The sequence below is a fragment of the Homo sapiens genome, chromosome 5 (genome assembly GCF_000001405.40).
Source record: "Homo sapiens chromosome 5, GRCh38.p14 Primary Assembly".
In the NCBI taxonomy this organism is placed as follows: domain Eukaryota; kingdom Metazoa; phylum Chordata; class Mammalia; order Primates; family Hominidae; genus Homo; species Homo sapiens.
This window is the reverse complement of record NC_000005.10, coordinates 93,170,282-93,195,626: the sequence shown is the minus strand read 5'-3', so window position 1 is coordinate 93,195,626 and position 25,345 is coordinate 93,170,282. Positions and strand designations below refer to the sequence as shown.

Sequence of the window (25,345 nt, the reverse complement as noted above, 5' to 3'; positions counted from 1 at the left end):
AAGCCCTGTTTACAATGATAATGTCCTATTTTTGTAGGAAGGAGTTGTCAGTAGAATATACAAATAGTCAGTATTTTGAGACTGCTATGATGGTGTGCTTATCAAGATGAGCCTGGTTTTCACAAAGAATTGACCAGATCTAGAATATTTAGCTCCTGTTACTTAGCCAGTTAATTCTGTATTTTCTCAGATTGTATACTAAGATGAGCATTTTGGCTAAGATGAGCATCAAATTCCTCATTTGATAGTCAAGGTAACGTTACCCAGTTGGCAATATATGAACCATTATTTTGGAAAATATGAACAATTCTGTCCCAAATAAGTTTGATTTGCCTGGTTCCATAGAATTGAAAATTATATCAACTGAACTATGCTTAGTCGCTTAGTGTTCTTGCTCATATATCCTTATTTGGAGATAATCTAAAAAGCCAACAAACAAAACAAAACATTTCCCAACCTCTAATCATGCTGTTTCTCATTGAAAAATCTCTTGGATTCAGTTTTAAAAATAATAGATTAACTAATAATAAAGAAAGTAGTACCTTCCGTTTCAAATCAAGAGCCATTTATCAAATGCTGCGTTTGTCAGGTTCTGTATTCAGGACTTGAAAGAAAAAGATGAGGCTAATATGGTTTCCACCCATGGATACACTATTTTATATTTGGCAGCATGCAATTACATTAGGATAATTCCTGTTTTATCCTCGCTGGGACTCCATGAGATAGATATTATTTCCCCCATTTTATAGAAGATAAAACTGAAATGAAAATATCACTTGCCCAAGTTCACATTTTTACTAGAGCTAATACTATAGCCCATGTATTTTTCTGACTCCCAATTATTTTCTCTTTTGATTATTCAAAAGCATATGTTTTCCCTAATGTTTTTAGTCAAGATAAACCATGTAGATATTTTAGTGCAGAAGTCTTTCTACTCCAAAGTAAGAATTTCTATACCTTGTCTAAATTTCAGTAGCCATTTCAATATCATAGGAGCAGGAAATTATTCAATTCTTGAGAAAATTCATGCACCTGTGGATTTCATCTTTTGTGCCAGATGAATGGGTGAGGTTGGATTTGATTTGCTCCATGACTAAACTCTAAAATTGGGATTTAAAATGGGTCTGTAATCTCACTCTGATTCCATTTCTCCTGTAATGCTGCCTAATGGTTATGCAAGTCTCAGAAACATATTTAAAGTAATAACATGTCCTTTTATCCAATAACATCAAGCTGAGATCTTTTTTGTTCACTTTTGCTAGACCTTTAACCTTTAAAGGTGAGTCAGGCAGCTGCAGAAAGCCTGATCTTAATTTCTGCCCCTGGCAAGACTTTTTCAAGTTCATCTTTTTTCCCTTCTCTCAAAATCTGATGAAAAATGAAATGTCAGGAAACAAGCTCTTGGGCTAAAAAACTTGTGTCTGTCTCTGTGACAGATGTCATTTTGAAAGGTTTCAGGTCACCTGTCCGAAGTGTGCCAGTGTGATCTGCACTCACGTGACTCGACCTCACACCAACATTGAGTTCTGCTTTTAAAAATAGCCTTGAAAAAGAATTAAATGATTTCAAGTCATTGCTTTTTCCACTGTCTTTTAACTCTGATTAATGAGACAAAAAAGGGGGGTAGGGGAGAGAGAGAGAGACTTTTAAAAAGGACAGCTTGACCTCTGGGTGCCCCTGGCAGTGAACCAATCAGCATTCTTGTAATCCAAACACAGATGCCTGGAGCTAAACAAATCCTATACTTGTGAACAAGAATTCAGCTTTCTGTCAAAATACAGTGAAGATCGCACAATAATGCTTTTAACAAAATATCATGAATTAAAATTTAAATGTATGTGATTAATCGAAAAAAATAAAATTAAACAATGTAGAGTTTCAATAGTGGCTCAATTTAGTTGCAAATCTTTCCAGCAAAAATTCATGTGTTTGGAAAAGTCCTGTATCTTAGCTCCACCCTGGACATAACTCCTTAGTATTTTACTTCAGAAGCACCACTGATGTTATTGTACAAATCAGTAGTTTGTAATGACTAATTAATGGGGTTGAACTCTGTTCACTTTCCGGATTAGTTATACAATGTTTGAATTATTTATCACAGTGATTTAAAAAACGTTCCTTTTTTTCTCCTTTTTTCTCCCTTTTCCTTATGGGCTTTTATCATAGTCCAGGCAATTGAATAATTTTTTTAAATAGATAATTTTGTTTCATCAGTTTGAGAGTAATCTTGGGGCTTTGCCCCATAACCAAGAAAATAAAAAATTACAGTTTCAAAGACATGTTTGTTAAATCTGTCACTCTAAACAAGAGGCCAGATTGGGAGAGGTGAGATGACCCATGGATATAAACCCAGAACCTTTAATAGCACAACAGAGATGTTAGCTTTTTCATTTTCTTTGCTTGATTCTTATGTTGGCCCAGCCTTGACTTGAAATGAAGATGCATTTCTTGAAGACGTGCTCATTGTATCCTTGTCTGGAACAAGGTTATTAGTGTGTGTGAAAAACTTGAGGGAGAAAAAAAGAAGCGTAGACCTAGAAGGCAATTAGTTAGCTTGAAATAGAAGTGGCAAGCTGATTTTTGGCAATGATTTGTGAAATATTTGTGAAATTTCTTTACCTTCTACAACGATGTTTTAGACTGGTGCTTCTCAAACTTTAATGCACTCGTGAATTACCTGGATCTTGTCAACATGCAGATTCAGATTCAGTAGGTGTGGGGTGGGGACTGAGTGTCTGCATTTCTAACAGATTGCCAGGTGGGGCAGATGCTACTGAGCCTAAGGTTTTAGGTGACTCTTTTTAACTCTCCACAAGTGTGTCAATTGCCTCAAGATTCCCATATAGTTCTGAGGTTCAAAAAGATTATTTTAAAAACTCCCTTCTGACACATTTTTCCTGTTTATGATCTTTTTCTATGTGTCAGTGACTTGATCTCTTTTAGGAACTTTCTAATTTTAATATAACTGTAGTTACATCATCTCAAAATGACTCTACCTTATGAAGAAAAGATACACATAAAGATGGAAACAATGTCAGGTTTTGTCACCCTTGCTCTTCAGTCGTTAGTTTCTCACTAGGTTTTGGTCTTGGTGAGAGCATTTTGTATTCTACTAGGTAGTCTCATTAGTACTGACACATCTCTTCTTTGCTATACTGCAATCAGAGAGTGTTCATAATCAAAGGTTGAAGGTCTTTATAAGAATGCACTTGGGCTAAGAAGCACCCAGGGGAAAAACAGTTAAAAATAAGAGCAGTCAGAACTATCAGCAGTGTTTAGACCCAGATAACCACAAACATCCTGGAATTTACTTAACCATGTCTGATTTCCCAGTGAGTCATGTTTACAGCTTTAGATGTTAGTTTACTTTTCCTTCATTTTTTTCTTGATCATTCATGCAGTAGAAAGTGGAAACGAAATCTTCCATGGCAATTAAAGTGCCAATACTTGTGCTAGCTATGTGTTCCTGCTACTGATAGGGAGCGATCTGGCCATTAGTCAAACAAAGCTGTACCAATTTTCTCATGCTCATTACCTATTTATAATATGGACATTCTTATGGCATATTATGCAGCTGCTTTAGCAGGGAACTAATGTCAAATGAGAGTGCCCGATTTAGCTTTATCAAGAGAAAATGCACCATATTTAATGCTCAATTTTCATTCTGTGTATGTTAGATATACACGTGATTGCTGAGAATTTTATTCCAGTGTATTCGTAATTGTGTATTCCACTACAAGTTATTTTTGAACTTGATAAAGATTCTTACTTTCTTTTTGGTCAAATGCTAAGATTATTTAACAAGTGGAAAATAATATTTGCTAATTTTCTTAAAAGGCTGAAGGTGTTTTCTGAACTGAGGGTATAGATGATTACTACCTTATATTAGAAGAACCAAACTCTGAGGTTGATTGTCTATCACATAGTAAGGCTTTACGGACTACTATACCATTTCTTCCATAAAAGCCTTCATTTTATGTTGCCAATTTCATCTGGTGAGTCAGCCGGACACTCTGGACACATGATTGTGGATTAGACCCAGAAATATAGATTCCGTTACTGCTATTACACTAGACTCTCAATAACATTACTCTGAATAAGCTTTCTCCTATGAGAAAACCGTTTCAACCTTTTTGATGAATATTGGTGGAAGAAAATAAAATGGGGGACATGGCAGTTGTGAAAAGAGATTTTTTCTGGCTGAAATTAATAATTCTGAGCAGCACTAAAATTAATTACTCTGTAGTTATGAGTAGGCAGTGGATTTATGGTAAATGACAGAGTGTTTGCAAATTTTCCTGACTACTCGATTAGAAAATGCACAAGTGGAGGCGTCAGCCGAGCATGCATTATTTAAGTGGTTGGTGTCTGGCGACAATCTGGAAACTGCAATTGTTGTGGTTGCCGTAGGAAAATTCGCACTTTCTGAGAGAAATTCTTTCACCTTTGTGTGCCCACAGCATGGATCTCTCCTCATGGCAGCTGTAGGAAACACAGGAACTCCGTGACCTGGAAAATGTGGGACAACTGCCACAAGGTGACCCTGGAAGGCTGGGGTAGGCCCAATTAATTTAAAATTTTGCTTGGCCTTGTCTCTTCCAATTTTCTAAATCTTCTGGAAAAATGATTAATGCGTACACTGCCAATGCGAAAATATTTTTGACCCTATTAAAGTCGACCAAGGGTAAACCAAGTGTAGGCTGGCATTGTATCAAACTAGCTTTATTAAATTTGATTGGAGGTTTGTATGAGGAAGGGACAGACAAGGACATTATTTTGCACAGCGGCTCTCTTTTAAATGAAAATATCAAGAGGAATACAAAGTAGCAATATGCCCTGGACAGGAATCATTTTAAATATAGAAAAATACCACCAAGAACTTTGTTTAAAGGGTAAACTGTATTTGCTAGAAAATATTCTGCTATCTTATTGCTATGCTGGTCAATTATCAATGAGGGTGTTTAAATTTATGCAAGGCTTATGGAAGTCTTATATTTCTTTATTTATAGATGAGCTAATTCCACCTTGCTTTCTTTCTCTTGTCTGTTACCAAATTCTACAACTTAAAATAATCTTTCTGCATTTTGAACCTTAGCAGAGCAAGGCTCAATCTTATAGCGTTCCCCCAATGTGTCTATCCCACACAGTTTTCCAATTAATTAATAAAGTGATTAATTTTTTTCCACTTGTTATGTTGTTTTGAGTAAAAATGGCACAATTCTGGCACAATTCCAAAGGATAGAACTTCTCACAGGCACTTCTTCTCCAAGAAAGAGAAAATCATAAGATATAGTGAATGCATAATTCAATTTACGGGTCAACACCTATATTGCACATTTAATGTTTTCCAATAGTTTTCTCAAACCTAGGAGATATTCAACCACATGAATGAGATCATAAAGAGTATATTTTACCCATTAAACATGTGGAAAATATAATACTTTCCTTTATAGTAGGGCTGGATCTTACTGACCTCGATAGAGCTAGTGTATAGTAAATACTTATTCAATGACTGAATGGCAGAAACCACCTGTAACCATCTGTCTTCCAAGGGAAGACTAGAGCTACAGCTGGAATGACAGCTTAGCTAATGGTAATAGCTCAGTGAAGGCTCTAGAATACATGAGTAATTGTTAGTCATTTTAGTCTAGCAAGCATGGATGTGGAGAATAGGTAGTCACAGGAGTAAAAAAAAATCCATGACTTGGGATATTAGCTTTGCCTCAGACTTACTAACTAAAAGACATGAATGAACTATTTATAGGACTTGTCATAGATTGTGTAACTCTTCACCCACGGCTTTCCTCCTCTGCAATGTCTCTTCCTGTAGGAAGGTTATACATTCCTGCACTATTTAACTCAGGCATGCCATTTTGATGTGGTTTAGCCAGCGAAGTATGAGCAGAAGTGAGGTATGTCACTTTCAGGCAGAAGAGTAAAAGCATAGTTGGATTATTCCCTTTTCCCAGTGAATGACCATCAGCAAAGTTCCAGGTAAAGGGCAAAGTGGAGTCAAGTTATAGCTGATTTGTGATAGGCACAACAGTGTGAATGGGAAAAACACTCTTGTTACTGTTAGCCATTGAGATCTGGGATTGTCTATTACCACTACAATACATAGCGTATCCTGACTGACACAGATGTAAACTATATCCTTTTGGCATGAGTTAAAGAATATGGTGTTAATTACAACTCCAAGAGTTTTGAGATGAAATTAGCTCTCATCTTCCTGCTGTCATGCATGGGAACCTGCTTGCTTTCACACCTGTATCTGTTCTTTCCTTGTTAACGGATAGAGCAAACCTGGGACCAATGGCCAAGCCCCTGCCTGTGCTCTGGATCTCATCACCTCTCAAATACTTACAGCCTTTTCTCTGGGAGTTATCTCTTCTCTCCGACAATGCCAATCTGTCCTTTTCTAGTGGGCCATTCATATCTTCCATGGTAAAAACAATTCTTTCTTGGCTCCACATTCCTTTCAGCTAGCCCCTTTCCATTTCTCTCTCCCTTTTCTCAACCAAATATCTCAACTACTTAACTGTGCGCTGTCTCCACTTCCTCACCTCCCATTCAATCTCTAACCTACTCTGATCTGGCTTTCATCCCACTACTGAAAACAAATTGCTCTTGTCAAGATAACCAAAAGCCTATGTATTGCCCAGTCCAAGGGACACTTTATACTGACTTTACTCACATTCTTAGCAGCATGTCACTGAGTTGGCCATTTCCTCCCTCAGGAAAAACTTCACTTGGCTTCCAGCACAGTCTTCTACCTTTATTACAGGCAGAGATTGTTACAAACGAACCAATTATATCTTTATTTAAAAATATACAATTAAGTTATTATTGACTATAGTTACCCTATTATGCTATCAAATAGTAGGTCTCATTCCTGCCTTTATTCTTTTTTAAAATTTTTTTTTAAAATTTATTTTTATTTTTATTTTAAGTTCTGGGATACGTGTGCAGAATGTGCAGGTTTGTTACATAGGTATGCATGTGTCATGGCGGTTGGCTGCACCCATCAACCCATTATCTAGGTTTTAAGCCCCGCATGCATTAGGTATTTGTCTTAATACTCTCCCTCCCTTGCCCACCCCCCGCCACAGGCCCTGGTGTGTGTTGTTCCCCTCCCTGTGTCCATGTGTTCTCATTGTTCAACCCCCACTTATGAGTGAGACCATGCGGTGTTTGGTTTTCTCCTCCTGTGTTAGTTTCCTGAGAATGATGCCTGCCTTTCTTAACGCTTGGTAGTCCGCTCTTTTTCTTCCTTTCCTCACCTCTAAAATTTGTGAAAAGTAAACTCCTATAGATCAGTAATTGAGCTCTCTTTTCTTCTATCTACATATTATTTTCCTTTATTGAGTTTAGTTTCATGACAACTCTAATTAGCTCTAGAGTTGCTATTTTGAACTCCCCACCTAGAAACATTCATAAAAGTGTTGTTAATATATACTTCCTTAGTTCCCACTTCAAAACATCCCTTATAAAACTTCAGGCAGAATTTTTAAGTTTGCTATTTTAATTCCCTCAGTTGATTCCTTAAAAAAATCTACTGATCACCTATAATGTGCCAGGCACAGTAACAGATATTAGGAATCAGATATAATTCTTGATCTCAAAAAAGGTGCTTAATAAGTGATTAGTGGGGAGGAAAATATGTACATAATTATGGTAAAATGAATAAAATGAGAGCATTTCTCATAATGTAGCTGTATAATACATGGAGGGAACATAAAGGAAAGAGAATCCAGGCTTTCTTTGGCAGTAAGAGAAAAGTTCCCAGAGGAAGTTATGTTTGGGCAAAAACATGGTCAAACAGGAATTTATCAGATGGAAGGAATAGAAAACATTATTCCTAAAGACAGGGAGATGTGAGAAGGCCTGCCATGTTTAGGGAATTAAAAATAGCTTAATATTTTTACGAAGAATAAGGAAGATGAAAATAGGTAAGAAATAAGTCTGAAAGTGGGGACTGGGCACAGGGCTATTTATGGAATTATATTCTTTTGATGTTCTGCATGACATTTCTGAGTCCTACCAATTTTTCTGTGTAAGCCATCCCTATCCTGTAAGAATGGGCTCTATTTATTATACTAAGGGGAGGGCGAGCATAAACAATATTACAATTTTTGAGACTGGAAGCATTGCATTCTGTTATATTTCTAGTCTATTTATCTTTCTATTATATCTCTGTCTATATTGTGGTCTTCTTTTATTATCTGTTTATTTCATTTGGTTTTGAGTAGCAATTTTCTGGAAAGATTGACTCCAAAACTGAATGTTTTGACAAATATTACTGTTTATAATAATCTAATTCCAGTTGTTTACCTTTAAAACTATAGGGAAACAGTGATTCCAAATATTGAATAGCTGTTTGAATACTTAACTCCCTCTATTTAAAAATGGATAAAATCAGGTATAAAATGTTTGGTAGTTACATACTCGAAGAAAATCTCAGTTGGTGGTGAGTGAGTTGTAAAATGCAGTTTATCTGACAGAACCCATTGAAAGTGCATGCAACTGGGTAACTCAGTCCTTTTGGAGTAATGGCAAATATGAGAGTCTTTGTAATTCTATTATAACTATATTCTGAGCCTAAGTTTATTGGTATTTATTATTATGCTCTTGGTGAATAACATTTTTAAGAGATTAAAAATGACAAACCCAGTATATATTCATGTGTTCTTGAATATTTAACACCTGCTAGAGCAATACAACAAAGAACCTCTTTTGAAACTAGCTCAGGTAAGGCAATTTTGCTTCTAAATACAATAAAAATAGTATTTAGAATATTTAAATTTTGTAAAGCAAAACGTAGTTGAGTGATGTGAAAAATGTTTTTGTTTTACCTTTAAAAAATCCCTTCTATTTTCATTTCTTAACTTATAATATGAAAAACAAATTGATTATGAACAGGATGTTCTAGATGAGACTTTTAACTTCATGGATGAATATGTTGGGGGTGAATCAAGTGGTTTCTGGGACAAATTTTTGCTATGGAGTGCAAGCAGTCACCATTGTCTTACTTGAATTATTTTATAGTGGCAACTGAATGGACTCTGATCACTTCTCCAGTAAATTAGTCATTCTGGTTGGCTGCCTACAGCATTTCTGTGAAAGCAGTAGAACCGAGAACAAAGAGACATTAGTGGTATGATTCAGATTCTACCCTATGACTTCAAAATACAGTTGAAAAAATAAATGAGATGGAAGGAAGGAATGTGCAATCTTAATTTTCTGAAGTTAGCTGCAGTTTGTAAAATGACTCTGAATACACAGCCATTTCTTACTTGTAGAGCTCCAGCCTATTCAAATATTCATTACAATCTTCTATTAACATTTGATAGACTACAGCTGTGTGAGTGGCCACTGACAAGTCGGCTCCACTAAAGTAAAGACTCATTTCTCCCATGGAACTTGAGTTACTGGGCACAGGGATACTTTGTAACTACTTATTATTCACCACCCTCCAACCACATGTGTTAGGACATGTGATGTCCTTAACACTTAGACACGTTCTGGAATAAAAAAGTCTACACTCCAAATTGTGTCAGAAGAAACTCAACAATTTGCAAGATCATTTAAATAAAAAGCTAAGTAATTATGGGCTTCTTTGTTCCCCACAGTGCCTGCCTTTTCTTGGCATTAGGTAAGGTGTTTAGGGATGTTCATTAAGGATTTTAGGCCACTAGAGTACTACTAAGATCATTAATTTTCACCACAAATCCTCGAATGTATTATTTCTCAAGTAGGTACTGGAGAAATCTAGTCTGTTATTTCTGATAATGAAAAATGTACTTTTCCGCAATATTAGTGATGAAGCTCCCAGTTATGGATAGTAAGGAATTAGGTGTTCGCTTTTCTAGGTGTCTAGGGTTCCATTCTATATCTCAATTTACATGTTATGGCTCTTACATAGCAACCAGTACACTGACAAAGAACTTAGCCTGCTAGAAAATGGGAAGGTCCCAAGTGCAGAGAAAAGGTTGACTCAGGGCTCAAACTGTAATTAAGTGAGAAAAACAAATGCCTCCCTATTTGTCCATTGGATTAAAATAAAATTAAATAAATAAAAAATTTTGATTAAAATATCTGTTATTTCTTAAAACTGTTATAAAGGTTTAATTTCAATGTTCTTTAAGGTGTGGATTAAATATTTTACAAAGTTAATACAAAAATTATTAACACTGGTATGTACAAGATACTGTTCAAAATGTTACAGGAGATGCATAAGTTTAAGTGTAAGATGCTATTCTGGGCCGGGTGTGGTAGCTCACACCTGTAATCCCAGCACTTTGGGAGGCCAAATCGGATGGATCGTCTAAAGCCAGGAGTTCAAGACTAGCCTGGCCAACATGGTAAAACCCTGTCTCTACTAAAAAACAAAAAAAATTAGTTGGGCATGGTGGCAGGTGCCTATAGTCCCAGCTACTCAGGAGGCTGAGGCAGGAGAATCGCTTGAACCCGGGAAGCGGAGGTTGCAGTGAGACGAGATAGTGTCACTGTACTCTAGCCTGGGTGACAGAGTAAGAATCCATCTAAAAACAACAACAACAAAAAAGATACTATCATTCAGGTCTCTCAATGGAGTTTACCTTCTAGTCATGGGATGGTACCAAATGATCATGAAGCAAAGCACATGGGACTTAGAAATACACAACATAGCAGAGAAGGGTGCCAATAGCTCACTCCGATGATTGACTGAAATCTGTTCTTTGTGGTGGCCTACATTAAATCAAGTTGAGATAACAGAAATTCTTTAATGTTTTAAAGTGGAGGGGATAAAAATAATTGGTTAGATATAAGTGTTGCCTTGCAATTATGTATAACCTGCTCACTTTAATTGTTTTCCAAGATGGTCCAGAGAACGTTGTCTTCAATGAAACATTGAGACATACATTGGTGAGAGAATAACAAATTTCTTTCGAAAATCAGTAGTGGTTCTCTCTATCTTTGGGAGTCTTGATGGGCAATGATCCAATAAAAATGGACTTTGCAAGTTCCTTGGGACTTATAGGATTCCAGGATGGCAGAGCATTTAATCACCACTTTAAATCAGTAATAAGGGTGAGTTTTATTAAACATTCTTGGCATCTATCGAAGTTATATTATTTTCTTCCTTTAATCTACTTCTTATGCTGAATTACCGTAATACATTTTTTAAAGTCACATCAGCCTTTCAATTTTACGATAAATCCTATTTGATAATATTTTATTTTGTGGCTGGACTGTGGGAATAACTTATTAATCATTCTTGAATTTACTTACTATAGTAAGTGAAATTGGACTACAATTTTATTTTATTGTGTTATCCTTGTCCAATTTTTGGTATCAGGATTATGCTAGCCTTGAAGAATATGCTGGGCAGGCATCCACATTTTCCTATTTTCTATCCTCTTGGGGATAATCTGTTCTGAGAAGTGTTTGTTAAGACTTTTCTATAAAATCATCTGAGTCTGGTGCCTTTTTAGGCATAAACTTTAAAACTTTCTCCTATAGTAATTATTCTGCTCAGATTTTCTACCACTTCTTGAAGCAATTTTGATCATTTATAGAATTCATCTCATTGAGCTTTTCATTGGTATAAAATAAAACATTCTCAAATTGTTATTTTTAGAAAGGATATGAGGATGGCAAGCTTTTTGAGTCTTTACTTTCCTGAATATGTAATTATTTTCCCCTTATAATTGATTGCAAATGTGGCTGAATCAAGATTTCCAGGTTTAAATAAATATCCTTCCCATTCTTTCAAAGTGTTGCTCCATTGTCTTTCAGAATAAGTTGCCGTTGAGAAATATATATAAATATAATGAATCTCATTCCTTTGTATGTCACCTGTTTATTTCTCCAAGGAAATGTTAAGATTTTCCTTCCTTTGGAGTTCTGAAACTCTACAACAATTTGTCTTGAAGTGCATATGTATGTGTGCATGTGTGTGTGTACGTATATATTTTCATTCTTTCTGTTGAGCCCTAGGTAGACCCAAAGGCATGGTCTTTCTTTAGCTCTGGACAATATTATTTCCATCCCTTTGAAGATTCTATTATCATGGTCTTATTTTCAGGTCTTCCATATGTATGTGTGTGTGTGTGTATATATATATATATATTTCATCTTTCAGGATTCTGAGAAAAGAATCCAGCTGTGTGAAGGATGGCCATATCATCATAAAACCACAACACTGGGCTCTTTTCTTTTCTTCAGAGGCTGATATTGAACAGATTACCACCTCAGGTAATAACTGTAATAGGCAGTTACTTAAGATCAAAAGCTCTGAACTCTCTGTAGAATCAGAGGATAGAGGATATATTCTCTGTAGTAAATCTGTGTTCAGAAACATGAGGAAATCTAAAATTCCTGATTTATGTTTCTAGTGAGATTTAAAAATATTTATGTATTAGACCCTAACAAGCAACTACGAAGATAAAACAAAATTGTGATAAGAGTATTGTGTGGATATGAAAAAACACAACTGTTAGATTAACAACTTCAAGATAAGAAAAGATTAGCAGAAAGAAAAAATTAACAAAATAAAAAAAGATGAAAATATTACAATTCAGGAAAAGTATGAATAATTAAAAATAATACAACAATTTTAGTGATACAAAGATCAGAGATATATGATCCAATCTACATATATAAAGAGAGAATAGATAAGAAGAAGTAATAAGCAATGATATAATAGAAGAAGATTCACTAGCAAAAGACTGATTTTTAAAAATATAGAATTACATTATATTAGTAGGCAATATTAATTTCAGTAAGTATTATTGGCAAAATTATTGCATTCTGAAAATAGAATAAAAATCTCAGAAATATTAGCAGGAAAACTATGTTACTAATACAGAACAAAATTTAGGCTGGCAATGGACTTCTCCAAATATTTATTTTGGAACACATCTGAAAAAACAACATGAAAGAGAATATTAAATATAAAATTATAGACAAAGATATAACAGGCTTCCAATAAAACAGAAAAGAGTAGAGGAACAAAAATTAGCAGTAGCAATATAGTTTTAATATAAAATAGAATTCAAGAACAAGAAGCATGTAACATGATGTTTTTATATTGACAAACGCTAATAATATTCATAGTAGAGATATAATAGTCATGAAACATTGTGTAACTAAAAAGGTAAGAAAAATATACGTAGCATAAACTGTTAAAAATACATTGGGAGGCTGACAGAAGCACAGTTATGATGGCATGCTTTATCATACACCATTCTTAGTCTTTGACAGATTGAAAGCCTAAAAAAATAAATGTGGACTGAAAGGACTTGAAAAAATATAATTAACATAATAATTTTATCTATATCTATATTTCTGTTTATATGTGATGTATGGTTACATATATATTAAAAAATTTTATAAAATATGTATGTGGTTGTATAAAAGTACTGTACTCTATGAAAGCCATATTTTCTTTGCAAATGCCTAAAAAACATTTATAAAAAGTGATCACATGCAATCTTAATTAATAACAAGGAGTAGAAAATGGACAAATTATATTCTTTAATGGCATTGCAATGAAATTAAAACCTAATTGCACAAGTCTAAACAAAAAATTCATACCACTTGGATTAAAAAAAAAGCACTTGGCTAAAGAGTTCTTGGATTAAAGTAATAGTACAGACTTTAGCTATGGAGTGTTTAGAGAGACAAGGATAATTTTAAAAATTAAAACCTCTATGATGTTTCCAAAGTCATGGCTTTAAAGAAAATTTATAGCCTGGAGTTCTTTGTTTATTTAACAACAAAGAATGAAAATCAAGTAATTTAATATTAACTCAAAAGTTTGAACATAATAAAACAAACATAGGAAACTCAGGAAGAACAATGTGGTTTAGTCGGTAATTAATTTTTTGGAAACACAACAAAAAAGAGTTATTAGAATAATAACTAATAGAAAAACTGGCATATTCAAAGAAGAACAAAAGAAAGGAAAAACTGACTGTAGTTTATAATTTATAAGGGGGATATATTAATAGAAATTTTAAATACTTTAAGAGAATTGTACAAACTATGCTAATAATTTTCCAAATCTCAACAAAATAGATAAGCTTCTAACAAGGCATAAGTTATCAAAATTGGTCTGTAAAGAAAAGGAAAAATAGGTAGGCTTATGTTTTTTGGAAAAAAAATTAAGGCATAAACTCAAGTTTTAACTTTTGTGCTTTCAAAATTACAATGACTAAAAATTCCTGTAGTACATAAGCTGGTTGAGAGCATATGGAGAGAACATCTTTCAAGTAATTTTATGAAGCAAGTGAGTTTTAATAACGAAACATGACAAATTTAGCAGAGAGGTAAAAACTATAGATTAATCTCATTACTATACTACACAGATGCAAATATATAACAGAAAATAAAACACATAACTTTTTTAAAATAACAAAACACCATAACCAAAACTAGTTTTTAATCACCAAATAAAATAATAACCCATGATTACTTGACATATTAATTGGAACTTTATGTCATAGATTGCAGAATAAAGGTAATATGATCAATATGAGTGATGCCTAATGTAATAGTTTCTTATTGCAGCTGAAACAAATTATCACAAACCTAGTGGCTTGAAACAACATAAATTTTTTATCTTACAGTTCTGGAGGTCAGGAGTCCTAAAATCAAGGGGTGGATAGGACCGCATTCCTTCTGGAGGCTCTAGGAGAGAATCTATTTTATGCTTTTCCAGCTTCCAGAGGCCATCTGCATGCCTTGGCTTGTGTCCCCTTCCTCTTATCCCTCCAATCTCTTCTTCTGTCACCACATTTTCTATGCTGACTCTGACTCCCCTGCTTCCCTTTTATCAGAATACTGTGATTACATTGAGTTCATCAGGATGATTCAGGATAATCTCCCCATATCATATCAAGGTTCTTAATTTAATCACATCTGTAAAATACCTTTTGCTGTGTAAGGTCACAGATCCATAGGTTTTGGGGATTAGGGCACGGACATCTATGGGGGCTGTTATTCTGTTCACCACACCTAAAATGAATTTGATTAAATTTAACATATTTTCTGATAACATTCTTATTAAACTGGGACCAGAAAGATACTTTTTTTTTCACATCATGAAGCATTTGCATTACCAATTAATTACTGCCATCTTATTTTTTGGAGAAACACTGGAGATATTTCTATTAAGATGAAAATGAATGTTACCATGCTATTACTTAATATTGTTCTGTCAGTAGGAGCGAATAACACCAATGAATAGGAATAAAGCTTTATCTTAGAAAGAAGATTCAGTTTTCATTATTTTCCAGTGATTTCACTGTATACCCCAAAAGCAGAAAAATTAATAGAAAAACTGTTTGGATTAATATAGGGCTTAATAAAGTGAGTGGACCATGAGGAAACAAACAAACAAAAATGAAATAACCAAATAAATAAATAAAGACTTTATATGAGCAGAAATATGTTTAGTTCAGGCACCAAAAAGAGACTCTATGACCTCAGGAACAAAAAGAAAGGAAGAAAATCAAGATGGGACTTAGACCAATGATTCTCAAATTTTTTTGGTGTCAGAATTCTGTAACATTATTAAGAAATATTGACAATGCTAATGAGCTTTTGTTTATGTGAGTTATATCTGTTGATAATTATTTTATTAGTGATTAAAACAGATAAATGAGAAAAGTATTATTATTATTCAGTAGTTAATTTCAAAACAATAGTAAAGCAATATATGTTAAAATAATAACATATATTTTATGAGAAACAACTATGTTTTCCAACCCCTTCCCTCTAAAATGTAGTGAGAAGGGTGGCATTGCTGTTTACACTTTTTCAAATCTCTAATTTAATGCCAGGCTTAACAGAAGATAGCTGAATTTGTATGTCTGCCTCTGTATTCATTTTGTTGTGACATGCTGTTTTGATTAAAGTATATGAAGAAAATCTGGCTTTACACAGATATGTAGATGAAAAAGGGAGGAACAGTTTAATATCCATTTTGGAGAATTATGCACATTCTCCTTTTAACTTGACAAGTGATAGTTTCTTGAAGTGCAGTTTCAATGAAGAGTCCAAAATGACATTAATGAACTTTTTGTACTCTGCACCATTAAAATCCACTGGCCTGCCTTGTACTTTGAATAAACGTTTTACCCACCCATGATTTTGACTATTTGATCATCATACTTTGATCATTTGAAAAATATTTGTTTACTGAATTTTCAGATTTCCAAAATGATGACACATTTCATTAGACAATATCTAAAGGTGGCATTTGTTAATAGCACCACTGATCCCATCAGAAGAGTTTTTAAGTACTGGGAGGATGTCAAGCTTGTAGTGAATATAAGTTCTCTAAAATACAACTTTTTGCTTGATAGCAGCGAGATTTTGGGATTGTTTGCTACTGTAGCCTAATCCAAACTTATCCTGACCAGTATGGAGGTACCAGAAAACTTTAAAGCTGGTCATTTCTGTCTTTTCAGTCAATGGTTCATTCACGATCTATAAGAAAAATAAGCCATTAGTGGTGCTTAGACTACATTTGAAACACATGTGCATATCTGGTCCGCTAATAGTTTACATAAATTCTGATGAGCATCTGAAAACCATGGTGAGAATCGAAAGACTTATTTGGCTGTTTTGGAAGAATGAATTGGAAGTGAATGAGTGAGGAAGGAAAACTGAAGGAAGGGAGGAAACTGTATTAGTAATTTCATTACAGTAGATCCTAATTAGGTTGGGAGTAGTGGAAGTGGGGAAAATGAAATGTGTTCAAGCCATTGCATCTGTAAGTCTTATCATCATTATTATTGTTGCAAATAATTCAAAGAACTTGATGAGAGGTTGAGTCCTGGGGTAAAAGGAAGAGAATTGATACATGACTCTAAGGCTAAATCTGCAGAATGAAGCAAATTTTGGTATTAAAATTGAGTTGGTTTAGTGACAGCCTGGATTAGAGAAAAATGAATTTCATTTTCAACAGGCCAAATTTGCAAAAATGGTGTTCTGTGGATGGATGGAAATATGAGTTTATAACCCAGGTGAAATCCCTCAAGCCTGTAAATGTTAAAAAGGAAGCCTATTCTGGACATGCTAGAGTGCATTTAGAAATGTTCTCCAAGCAGAAAAAAAGAGTTTAGCAAAGGAGGCTGAGCTTAGAAAACATCCACAGATAAAATGAGGAGAGTAACAGGAGCCACTGAAGGAAAGAGAGGAGGAGCAATCTTAACTAAAGGAACTGTGCTGCTTCTGTATGGAGGCCTGGAGCCCCAGGGCCATATGTGGTTGAGAAACTCAGGATGAGAGGAGGATGGAGGAAAGGCCACTCCAGTTACTGAGAGGGAGAGCACATGTGTTCTCAGATGGAGAGATTTTTAAGTATATTGTGGTAGGAAAACCATTTTATAAGAGATTGTGGAAATTGCAACAGGGAGTAGAGATCACGCAAGAGTGGCAAAAGGAAGACAGGAAAAAACAATAGCGATTGGAATAAATCCTGAGGTCAAGGATTTATTTAAAATGGCTTTTCAAGTTCCTGTTGATTTAAAGGCAGATGGAAAGGAGCTGATAAAGAGATAAAAAGGTTAGAGATTGAGAAATAAAAAAAAGTGCCGTAACGGGGCTTCCCAGGGTATGGGAAAGAATGACATCCAGTTTGACTTTGAAGAGGAATTAAGATTTAGATTTAGATTCTATTATACTTGGAAGGAAAATGACAAAAAGGGGATAAAACTCATTTTATGTTGTGATGATGAGAGTTACACGTTAGGAAGAATGTGTCATCCGCTGTGATCAACTTCATGAAGATTGAGGCGTTAGCTGTGCTTGTCCTCGGGTAGACTTTGCCTGCCACCTGCTCACTGGGAACTAGGCTGGGTTTGTACGTGGAGTGTAACCTGAACACTGAAGATTAACATCTGGTTTTATCTAATACAACACTGCAATAAAAAGATAATAATAGTCTCCGTTGGAACTTCATTATAATGAGGCTCTTGCAGAACAATTTCAATGATGAGACTGTCTAAATGTAAAGATCTTCAGTAAAGAAAGCTCCAGATATTCTTTTTAAGTTTAATTCAATGTTAATGAGCTATGTTTTATCATTTGAAGGTTGACAATTAGGTTCCAGTCAAGTAAAACTGATTTTCTTTACCGTCTTTTTAAATTTATGTATTGCAAAATTAATGTAAACATCTTTCCTCATGAACTTATATTACTAAATAAAATGATTTTCATTCTGCTTATAGAAATGTAAGCAGAGATAATATTAATTTACACATTGTTTATACATTCATTTTAAGAAACTTGCCCTCTGATTTATCCATGCTATAAACTGGAATATTTAATGTTAGAATCCACTGATTCTACTGCCCTTCCCTTTACCATCCTTCTCTCTTTTCCTACATTATATTCCTAGGTTATATTATCGTTATAGTCACTCAGTTGCATATATCAACACCCTGGTTCTCTCCCACCATCGAGAAATTCCTGTCCTATTTAACGCCAAGTGCTTCTCCATTTTGTGCTCTTACACTGGTAACTAAAGTAGCTGGAGAAAAATCACACATCTATTAAGTTTGAATTGGGATTTTAATGAATCAGAGTGAAAAATACACATTGGATTTAATTTTCTGTTAGATCCACTTACCAAATTTATAAATAAAACCCATTTTGGTTTCCCAAACCACTTAGAATTCTCTCTTATGCAGAGTCAATTTAAGTTTTTAATTTTAGTCAAACTAATTTTAAATAAATTTAATGAATGAGTATCCCTTTTGTTTTTAACTGTTGATGCTATTAATTCATTCAACAAATGTGTACTGAGTACCTCCCACGTGCTAGTCATGAGGGAAATAGAAATAAACAATGCAGACAAATTTCCTGCCCTTGTAGAGCTTACATCCTAGTAGGGCAGAAAGGTAAGAAATGAGTAATTAAGCACATGAATAGCTGTTAGGTGACACTAAGCCCTGTGGAGAAAAAGAAAAACTGGTCAAGAGGATAAGTTGTAATAGAGCTTGGTTAAGGAGGTGTTCTTAAAAAGTATCATTTGAGTGGAGACCTGAAGGAAGAGAAGGACCAAGCCATCTGACTGTCTGGAGGAAGTCTATCTGAGGCCAAGGGAATAAGGGGAAAACTGTTGAGGCAGGAGTGTGCTTGGCATGCCCAGAGAAAAGCCAATGTGACAAATATGGCTGGTGCTGGATGAGTGAGGGAGAAAGTGACAAGGAATAATATGAGAGCAGGGATGGATGGCAATAACATTGAAGGACTTGGAGGTGATGATGGTTTTCACTCTGAGTGAGAGGACCAGTCACTGGAAGGGTCTGAACAGAGTAGTTCCATGATCTGATTTGCATTTGAAAAGAATCACAGAGTAGACAGAAGGGTTGGGGCTGGGGGTGGGTGGGTGGCATATGTGGAAAGTAGGGAGCTAAGTTAGGAGGCTACTGCAATCATCCAGCTGGGCAATGATGACCATTTACATGAGGATAGTAGCATGAGAGTAGTGCAATGTTGTATTTCTGGTTATATTTTGAAAGTTGAGCACATATAGTTTGCTGATAGATCATATATGAGATTTAAAGAGGGGAGACAAACAATAATAACTATGAGATTTTTGTCTTGCAAAAGTATTTTCAGAGATAGAGAAGACAATGGGAAGAGCTGGATTTTTGTCGTGGAGTAAAGGAGAGGGAATCAAGAATTTAAGTTTAAGATGCTTTTTAGACACTTAGAAAAGTCATGCAGGCAGCTGGATGTTCCTGCGTCTGGAATTCAGGGGAGAGATGAAGACTGGAGACATTACATCTGGGAGACATTACTTCAGGGAATAGATGTTATTTACAGCCACGGGAACTGAATGAGGCTATCTAAAACCTGAGTACATGTAGAAAAAAGAAGTCACAAAATTGAAGTCTGAGGCTCTCCAAAGTTTAGAGGTTGAGAAGATGAAGAATAAATGGAGAGAATGAGAAAGAACAGATAGGGAAGTGGAAGGAAACTTACAGGGAATGTTGCCCCAGAAGCCAAGTGAAAAAAATAAAAACTTAGAAGGAGCAAGAGATCATCTGTGTCTTACATTGTTGAAGTTGAAGTGAATGAGGTCTACTAACTGGCCATTACCAATCCTGACAAGTGAAAGCTTGTCAGCTGGAGAGGAGGGAATGAAGGCCATATGGGAGGAGGTTCAAGGGAGAATGAGAGGAGAAAAAGATAAGGAGAGATTCCATCAAGGGGAGTAGAGAAAGGATTTGTTAGCTAGCTGGCTATGGTCTACTAGATGAAGTGTAGTCAAGAGAGGCTTTAAGTAAAGATCAGAACATTCTTGTATGTCTGCAAACTGTATACTAATCTAGTAGAGAAAATTGATTATAGATGAGGAAGAGAAGTCAAATGCTGGAGCAATGTCTCAGTAAAGAAGATGACATAGAACCAGGGAAAATGGGAAGAGGTGGAAAAGCTGGACCCTCATAAGAACAGTCCCAGGAGTGAAGCCACAGGAAGGTATGAGGATGTGGCTGTGAGAATTGTTGAAGTTCTCTTCTGATTTCTTCTGACTCATAACACCCCAGAGAGGAGGGTGAAGGAGTTGTTATAGGCAAGTGAATAATTATAAGGATGGACCACCGAATCCAAGGTGGGAAGGGAGGAGGACATGAGGGACATGAGAGACCTGAAGGGGCACCAGGATCAGTGAATTACAGTATTAAATGTATTGAAATTCTGGCATATAGCATGGTTAAGACAAAACCCAGATTATTTATTGAGTGAGTAAGCAATGTGTAAATTTAATGTAACATTTAATAATTTTACATTACTGTGTTTATATTTCTTATATCAAAGAAAAATTCTTGGCAAAAATTTTGATTGTAGAGTAATTAATGAAGGTTGTTTTAATTTTCATAAATCATTCTGATCGTATAATAAATTTTGTCTGTTTTGGAATTCATGCTCAGGATCAGACGACTGGTGGCACCACTTCAGATACCATTGGTGTCACCTCCCTTGTCCTACCCCCGCTGCAGCAGCTACGATTGAGTAGGCTCTGAATGACTTCATGCAGGTGCAATCTGACAGCACCCACTTGGTGCCCCTCTGGGTCACTCACCTTCTACACAGGTGTTGACTGTCAAGAGCAGAGCACCACATGATGAGCTTCGTGCTTGGAGTCTCTGCATATGCAACTCACAAGTGTGTAGGGAGTTAGTAGGGTGATATTTTAACCCATAGAAAGGAGGAGCTGGTGGAAAAGTTCTTCCTCCTTTTTCCTCCTCTGACAGCTTGTTCTGAGAGGTTGGATATACAGCTTCTAGGGAGCTGGAGCAATTAGTTGCACTTAGCAGTGCTCAACTTCAAACACGTTGTGGCATCTTGGTACTGGCTCCCTCTCCTTCCCTGCCTACCTGCTTCTTCCCCACTCCTGCTGTGAGGATTCTTCTTCCTGTAATATATTAGGCTGTGTGCTCTCAATGTCAGGCTCTGCTCTCTGGGAACCCAGCCTGAGAAGCAGTGTAACATGGTTATTCTCTACCACCTTCAACAAAGGAATAAAACTGTACTATTTCACCAAATCACTTATCTTGTGAATAAACATCAAGAGAACCTGAAAAATTTAGCTTGAGATTAGCAGCTATAATTTTTCTCTCCTAACATAGACTCTAATTGAGATATGATTTTAGTCACTAGCTATTGTTTATGAACTTAAATTCTACTAACATTGCATTTTGTGGCAATGTAGACACAATATACATGATTATTCTGATCTAAAAGGTGACAAAGAAGTAGTACCAAGTATAATTATGTTTATTATACATTATATAATATGTACAAATAATTATAATTTATCCTTTTCTTACTTTTGCTTAATAAAAATATTAGGCCTTCATAATTCTTTCATGGATTATTGAGTAGCTCTTATTTCATTTCCCTCCTTGTGAGTTCCTCCTTTGAAGTCCTACAAGTTGTCCTCATTGATTTTTCTAAAACACAGATTTGATCAGCTCATATTTCCCTGCTTAAAAGCCTTCAATAGTTCTTCATTACCAAAGATTAAGCCCAAATCTACAACTTGCTACTCTCTTTTTTCCATCCTCGTTCCACCCCATGTACTATGCATGTTCCATTTCTCCTGGTCCTCTCTTGAGGGCCATGTGGTTTTGGTCCTCTGACTCAGGCAGTTCAAGTGCCTCTTCTGCTGCAAAATTTTCTTCCTCTATACACAATTGGATTTTATCTCTCTCTTCTAGGGAGCTCTACTTTGTTCTTCCCCCTTTTATAAGCAGGAATCATACTGTATTACAATGATTGGCTTATGTAACCCTCTCTTCCACTAGAGAGAAAGAACAAGGTTTTGTTAGTTTTTGTATAGTCAGTCCTTAGCATAGTACCGTTATGCATTGCTAACAACAGTGAAATGTTCTAAGAAATATGTTGGTAGGTGATTTTGTTGTTGTGTGAACCTCACAGAGTGCCTTCACACAGACTTTGATGTTATAGCCTACTACACACCTAAGCTATACAGTATAGCCTATTGCTCCTAGGCTACAAATCTGTACATCATGCTATTGTACAGAATATTGTAGGTAATTGTAACACAATGTAAATTATATGTGGATCTAAACATAGAAAAGTTACAGTAAAAATACAGTATAAACTATAAAAAATGGTACACTCAAATAGGACACTTACTGTGGATGGAGCTTGTAGGACTGGAAGTTGCTCTGGGTGAGTCAGTGAGTGGTGAGTGAATGTGAGGGCCTAGGACTTTACTGTACATGACTGTAGACTTTATAAACACTTTACACTTAGGCTACGCTAAATTTATAAAAAGTATTTTTCTTCAATAATAAATTAACCTTAGCTTACTATAAGTTTTTACCTTATAAACTTTAAAACTTTTTTAGGTTTTTGACTCTTTTGTAATAACCCTTAGCTTAAAACACAAACACGATCTGCTGTGGGGGGCGGTTCCAAGATGGCCAAATAGGAACAGCTCCAGTCTACAGCTCCCAGCGTGAGCGACACAAGATGGGTGATTTCTGTATTTCCAACTGAGGTACCGGGTTCATCTCACAGGGGCTTGTCAGACAGTGGGTGCAGCACAGTGGGTGCAGCCCACAGAGCATGAGCTGAAGCAGAGCGAGGCATCACCTCACCCGGGAAGCACAAGGAATCAGGGAATTCCCTTTCTAGCCAAGGGAAGCTGTGACAGACGGCACCTGGAAAATTGGGTCACTCCCACCCTAATACTGAGCTTTTCCAATGGTCTTAGCAAACAGCACACCAGGAGATTATATCCCGCGCCTGGCTCGGAGGGTCCCACGCCCACAGAGCCTCACTCATTGCTGGCACAGCAGTCTGAGATCAAACTGCAAGGTGGCAGTGAGGCTGGGGGAGGGGCGCCCACCATTGCTGAGGCTTGAGTAGGTAAACAAAGTCACCCGGAAGCTCGAACTGGGTGGAGCCCACCGCAGCTCAAGGAGGCCTGCCTGCCTCTGTAGACTCCATCTCTGGGGGCAGAGTATAGTTGAACAAAAGGCAGCAGAAATGTCTGCAGACTTAAATGTCCCTGTCTAACAGCTTTGAAGAGAGCAGTGGTTCTCCCAGCATGGAGTTTGAGATCTGAGAATGGACAGACTGCCTCCTCAAGTGGGTCCCTGACCCTCAAGTAGCCTAACAGGGAGGCACCCCCCAGTAGAGGCAGACTGACACTCACACGGCCAGATACCCCTCTGAGACAAAGCTTCCAGAGGAATGATCAGGCAGCAACATTTGCTGTTCAGCAATATTCGCTGTTCTGCAGCCTCCACTGCTGATACCCAGGCAAACAGGGTCTGGAGTGGACCTCCAGCAAACTCCAACAGACCTGCAGCCGAGGGTCCTGACTGTTAGAAGGAAAACTAACAAACAGAAAGGACATCCACACCAAAACCCCGTCTGTACGTCACCATCATCAAAGACCGAAGGCAGATAAAACCACAAAGATGGGGAAAAAAACAGAGCAGAAAAGCTGAAAATTCTAAAAATCAAAGCGCCTCTCCCCCTCCAAAGGAATGCAGCTCCTCGCCAGCAACGGAACAAAGCTGGACGGAGAATGACTTTGACGCGTTGAGAGGAGAAGTCTTCAGATGATCAAACTTCTCCGAGCTAAAGGAAGTTTGGACCCATCACAAAGAAGCTAAAAACCTTGAAAAAAAGATTAGACGAATGGCTGACTAGAATAACCAGTATAGAGAAGTCCTTAAATGACCTGATGGAGGTGAAAAGCATGGCACGAGAACTATGTGACAAATGCACAAGCTTCAGTAGCCGATTCGATCAACTGGAAGAAAGGGTGTCAGTGATTAAGATCAAATGAATGAAATGAAGTGAGAAGAGAAGTTTAGAGAAAAAAGAGTAAAAAGAAATGAACAAAGCCTCCAAGAAATATGGGACTATGCGAAAAGACCAAATCTACATCTGATTGGTGTACCTGAAAGTGACAGGGAGAATGGAACCACGTTGGACACTCTTCAGGATATTATCCAGGAGAACTTCCCCAACCTAGCAAGGCAGGCCAACATTCAAATTCAGGAAATACAGAGAACGCCACATAGATACTTCTCGAGAAGAACAACTCCAACACACCTAATTGTCAGATTCACCAAAGTTGAAATGAAGGAAAAAATGTGAAGGGCAGCCTGAGAGACAGGTCGAGTTACCCACAAAGGGAAGCCCATCAGACTAACAGTGGATCTCTTGGCAGAAACTCTACAAGCCAGAAGAGAGTGGGGGCCAATATTCAACATTCTTAAAGAAAAGAATTTTCAACCCAGAATTTCATATTCAGCCAAACTAAGCTTCATAAGTGAAGGAGAAATAAAATCCTTTATAGACAAGCAAATGCGGAGAGATTTTGTTACCACCAGGCCTGCCCTAAAAGAGCTCCTGAAGGAAGCACTAAACATGGAAAGGAAAAAGCAGTACCAGCCGCTGCAAAAACATGCCAAATTGTAAAGACCATCGATGCTAGGAAGAAACTGCATCAACTAACGAGCAAAATAACCAGCTAACATCATAATGACAGGATCAAATTCACACATAACAATATTAACCTTAAGTGTAAATGGGCTAAATGCTCCAATTAAAAGACACAGACAGGCAAATTGCATAAAGAGTCAAGATCCATCACCGTGCTGTATTCAGGAGACCCATGTCACGTGCAGAGACACACATAGGCTCAAAATAAATGGATGGAGGAAGATCTACCAAGCAAATGGAAAGCAAAAAAAAGCAGGGGTTGCAATCCTAGTCTCTGATAAAACAGACTTTAAACCAACAAAGATCAAAAGAGACAAAGAAGGCCATTACCTAATGATAAAGGGATCAA

General features: G+C 36.4%; 1 long non-coding RNA gene across 1 annotated transcript in view, besides 1 other annotated feature; it reads left to right on the top strand.

Annotated features, from left to right (window-relative positions):
• Nucleotides 3,980-5,267: an enhancer, noted in NCBI's record as "VISTA enhancer hs1170". NCBI's record gives its function as "enhancer in: eye[8/8]" and the evidence as "EXISTENCE:transgenic organism evidence [ECO:0001131][PMID:17130149]".
• The window catches only part of LOC105379083 (uncharacterized), a 55,405-nt gene continuing 34,497 nt past the window's right edge, over nucleotides 4,438-25,345 (top strand). The window contains exon 1 of the long non-coding RNA XR_007058869.1: nucleotides 4,438-4,556. This is a non-coding gene — a long non-coding RNA (uncharacterized LOC105379083). The remainder of the gene's footprint in view (nucleotides 4,557-25,345) is intronic.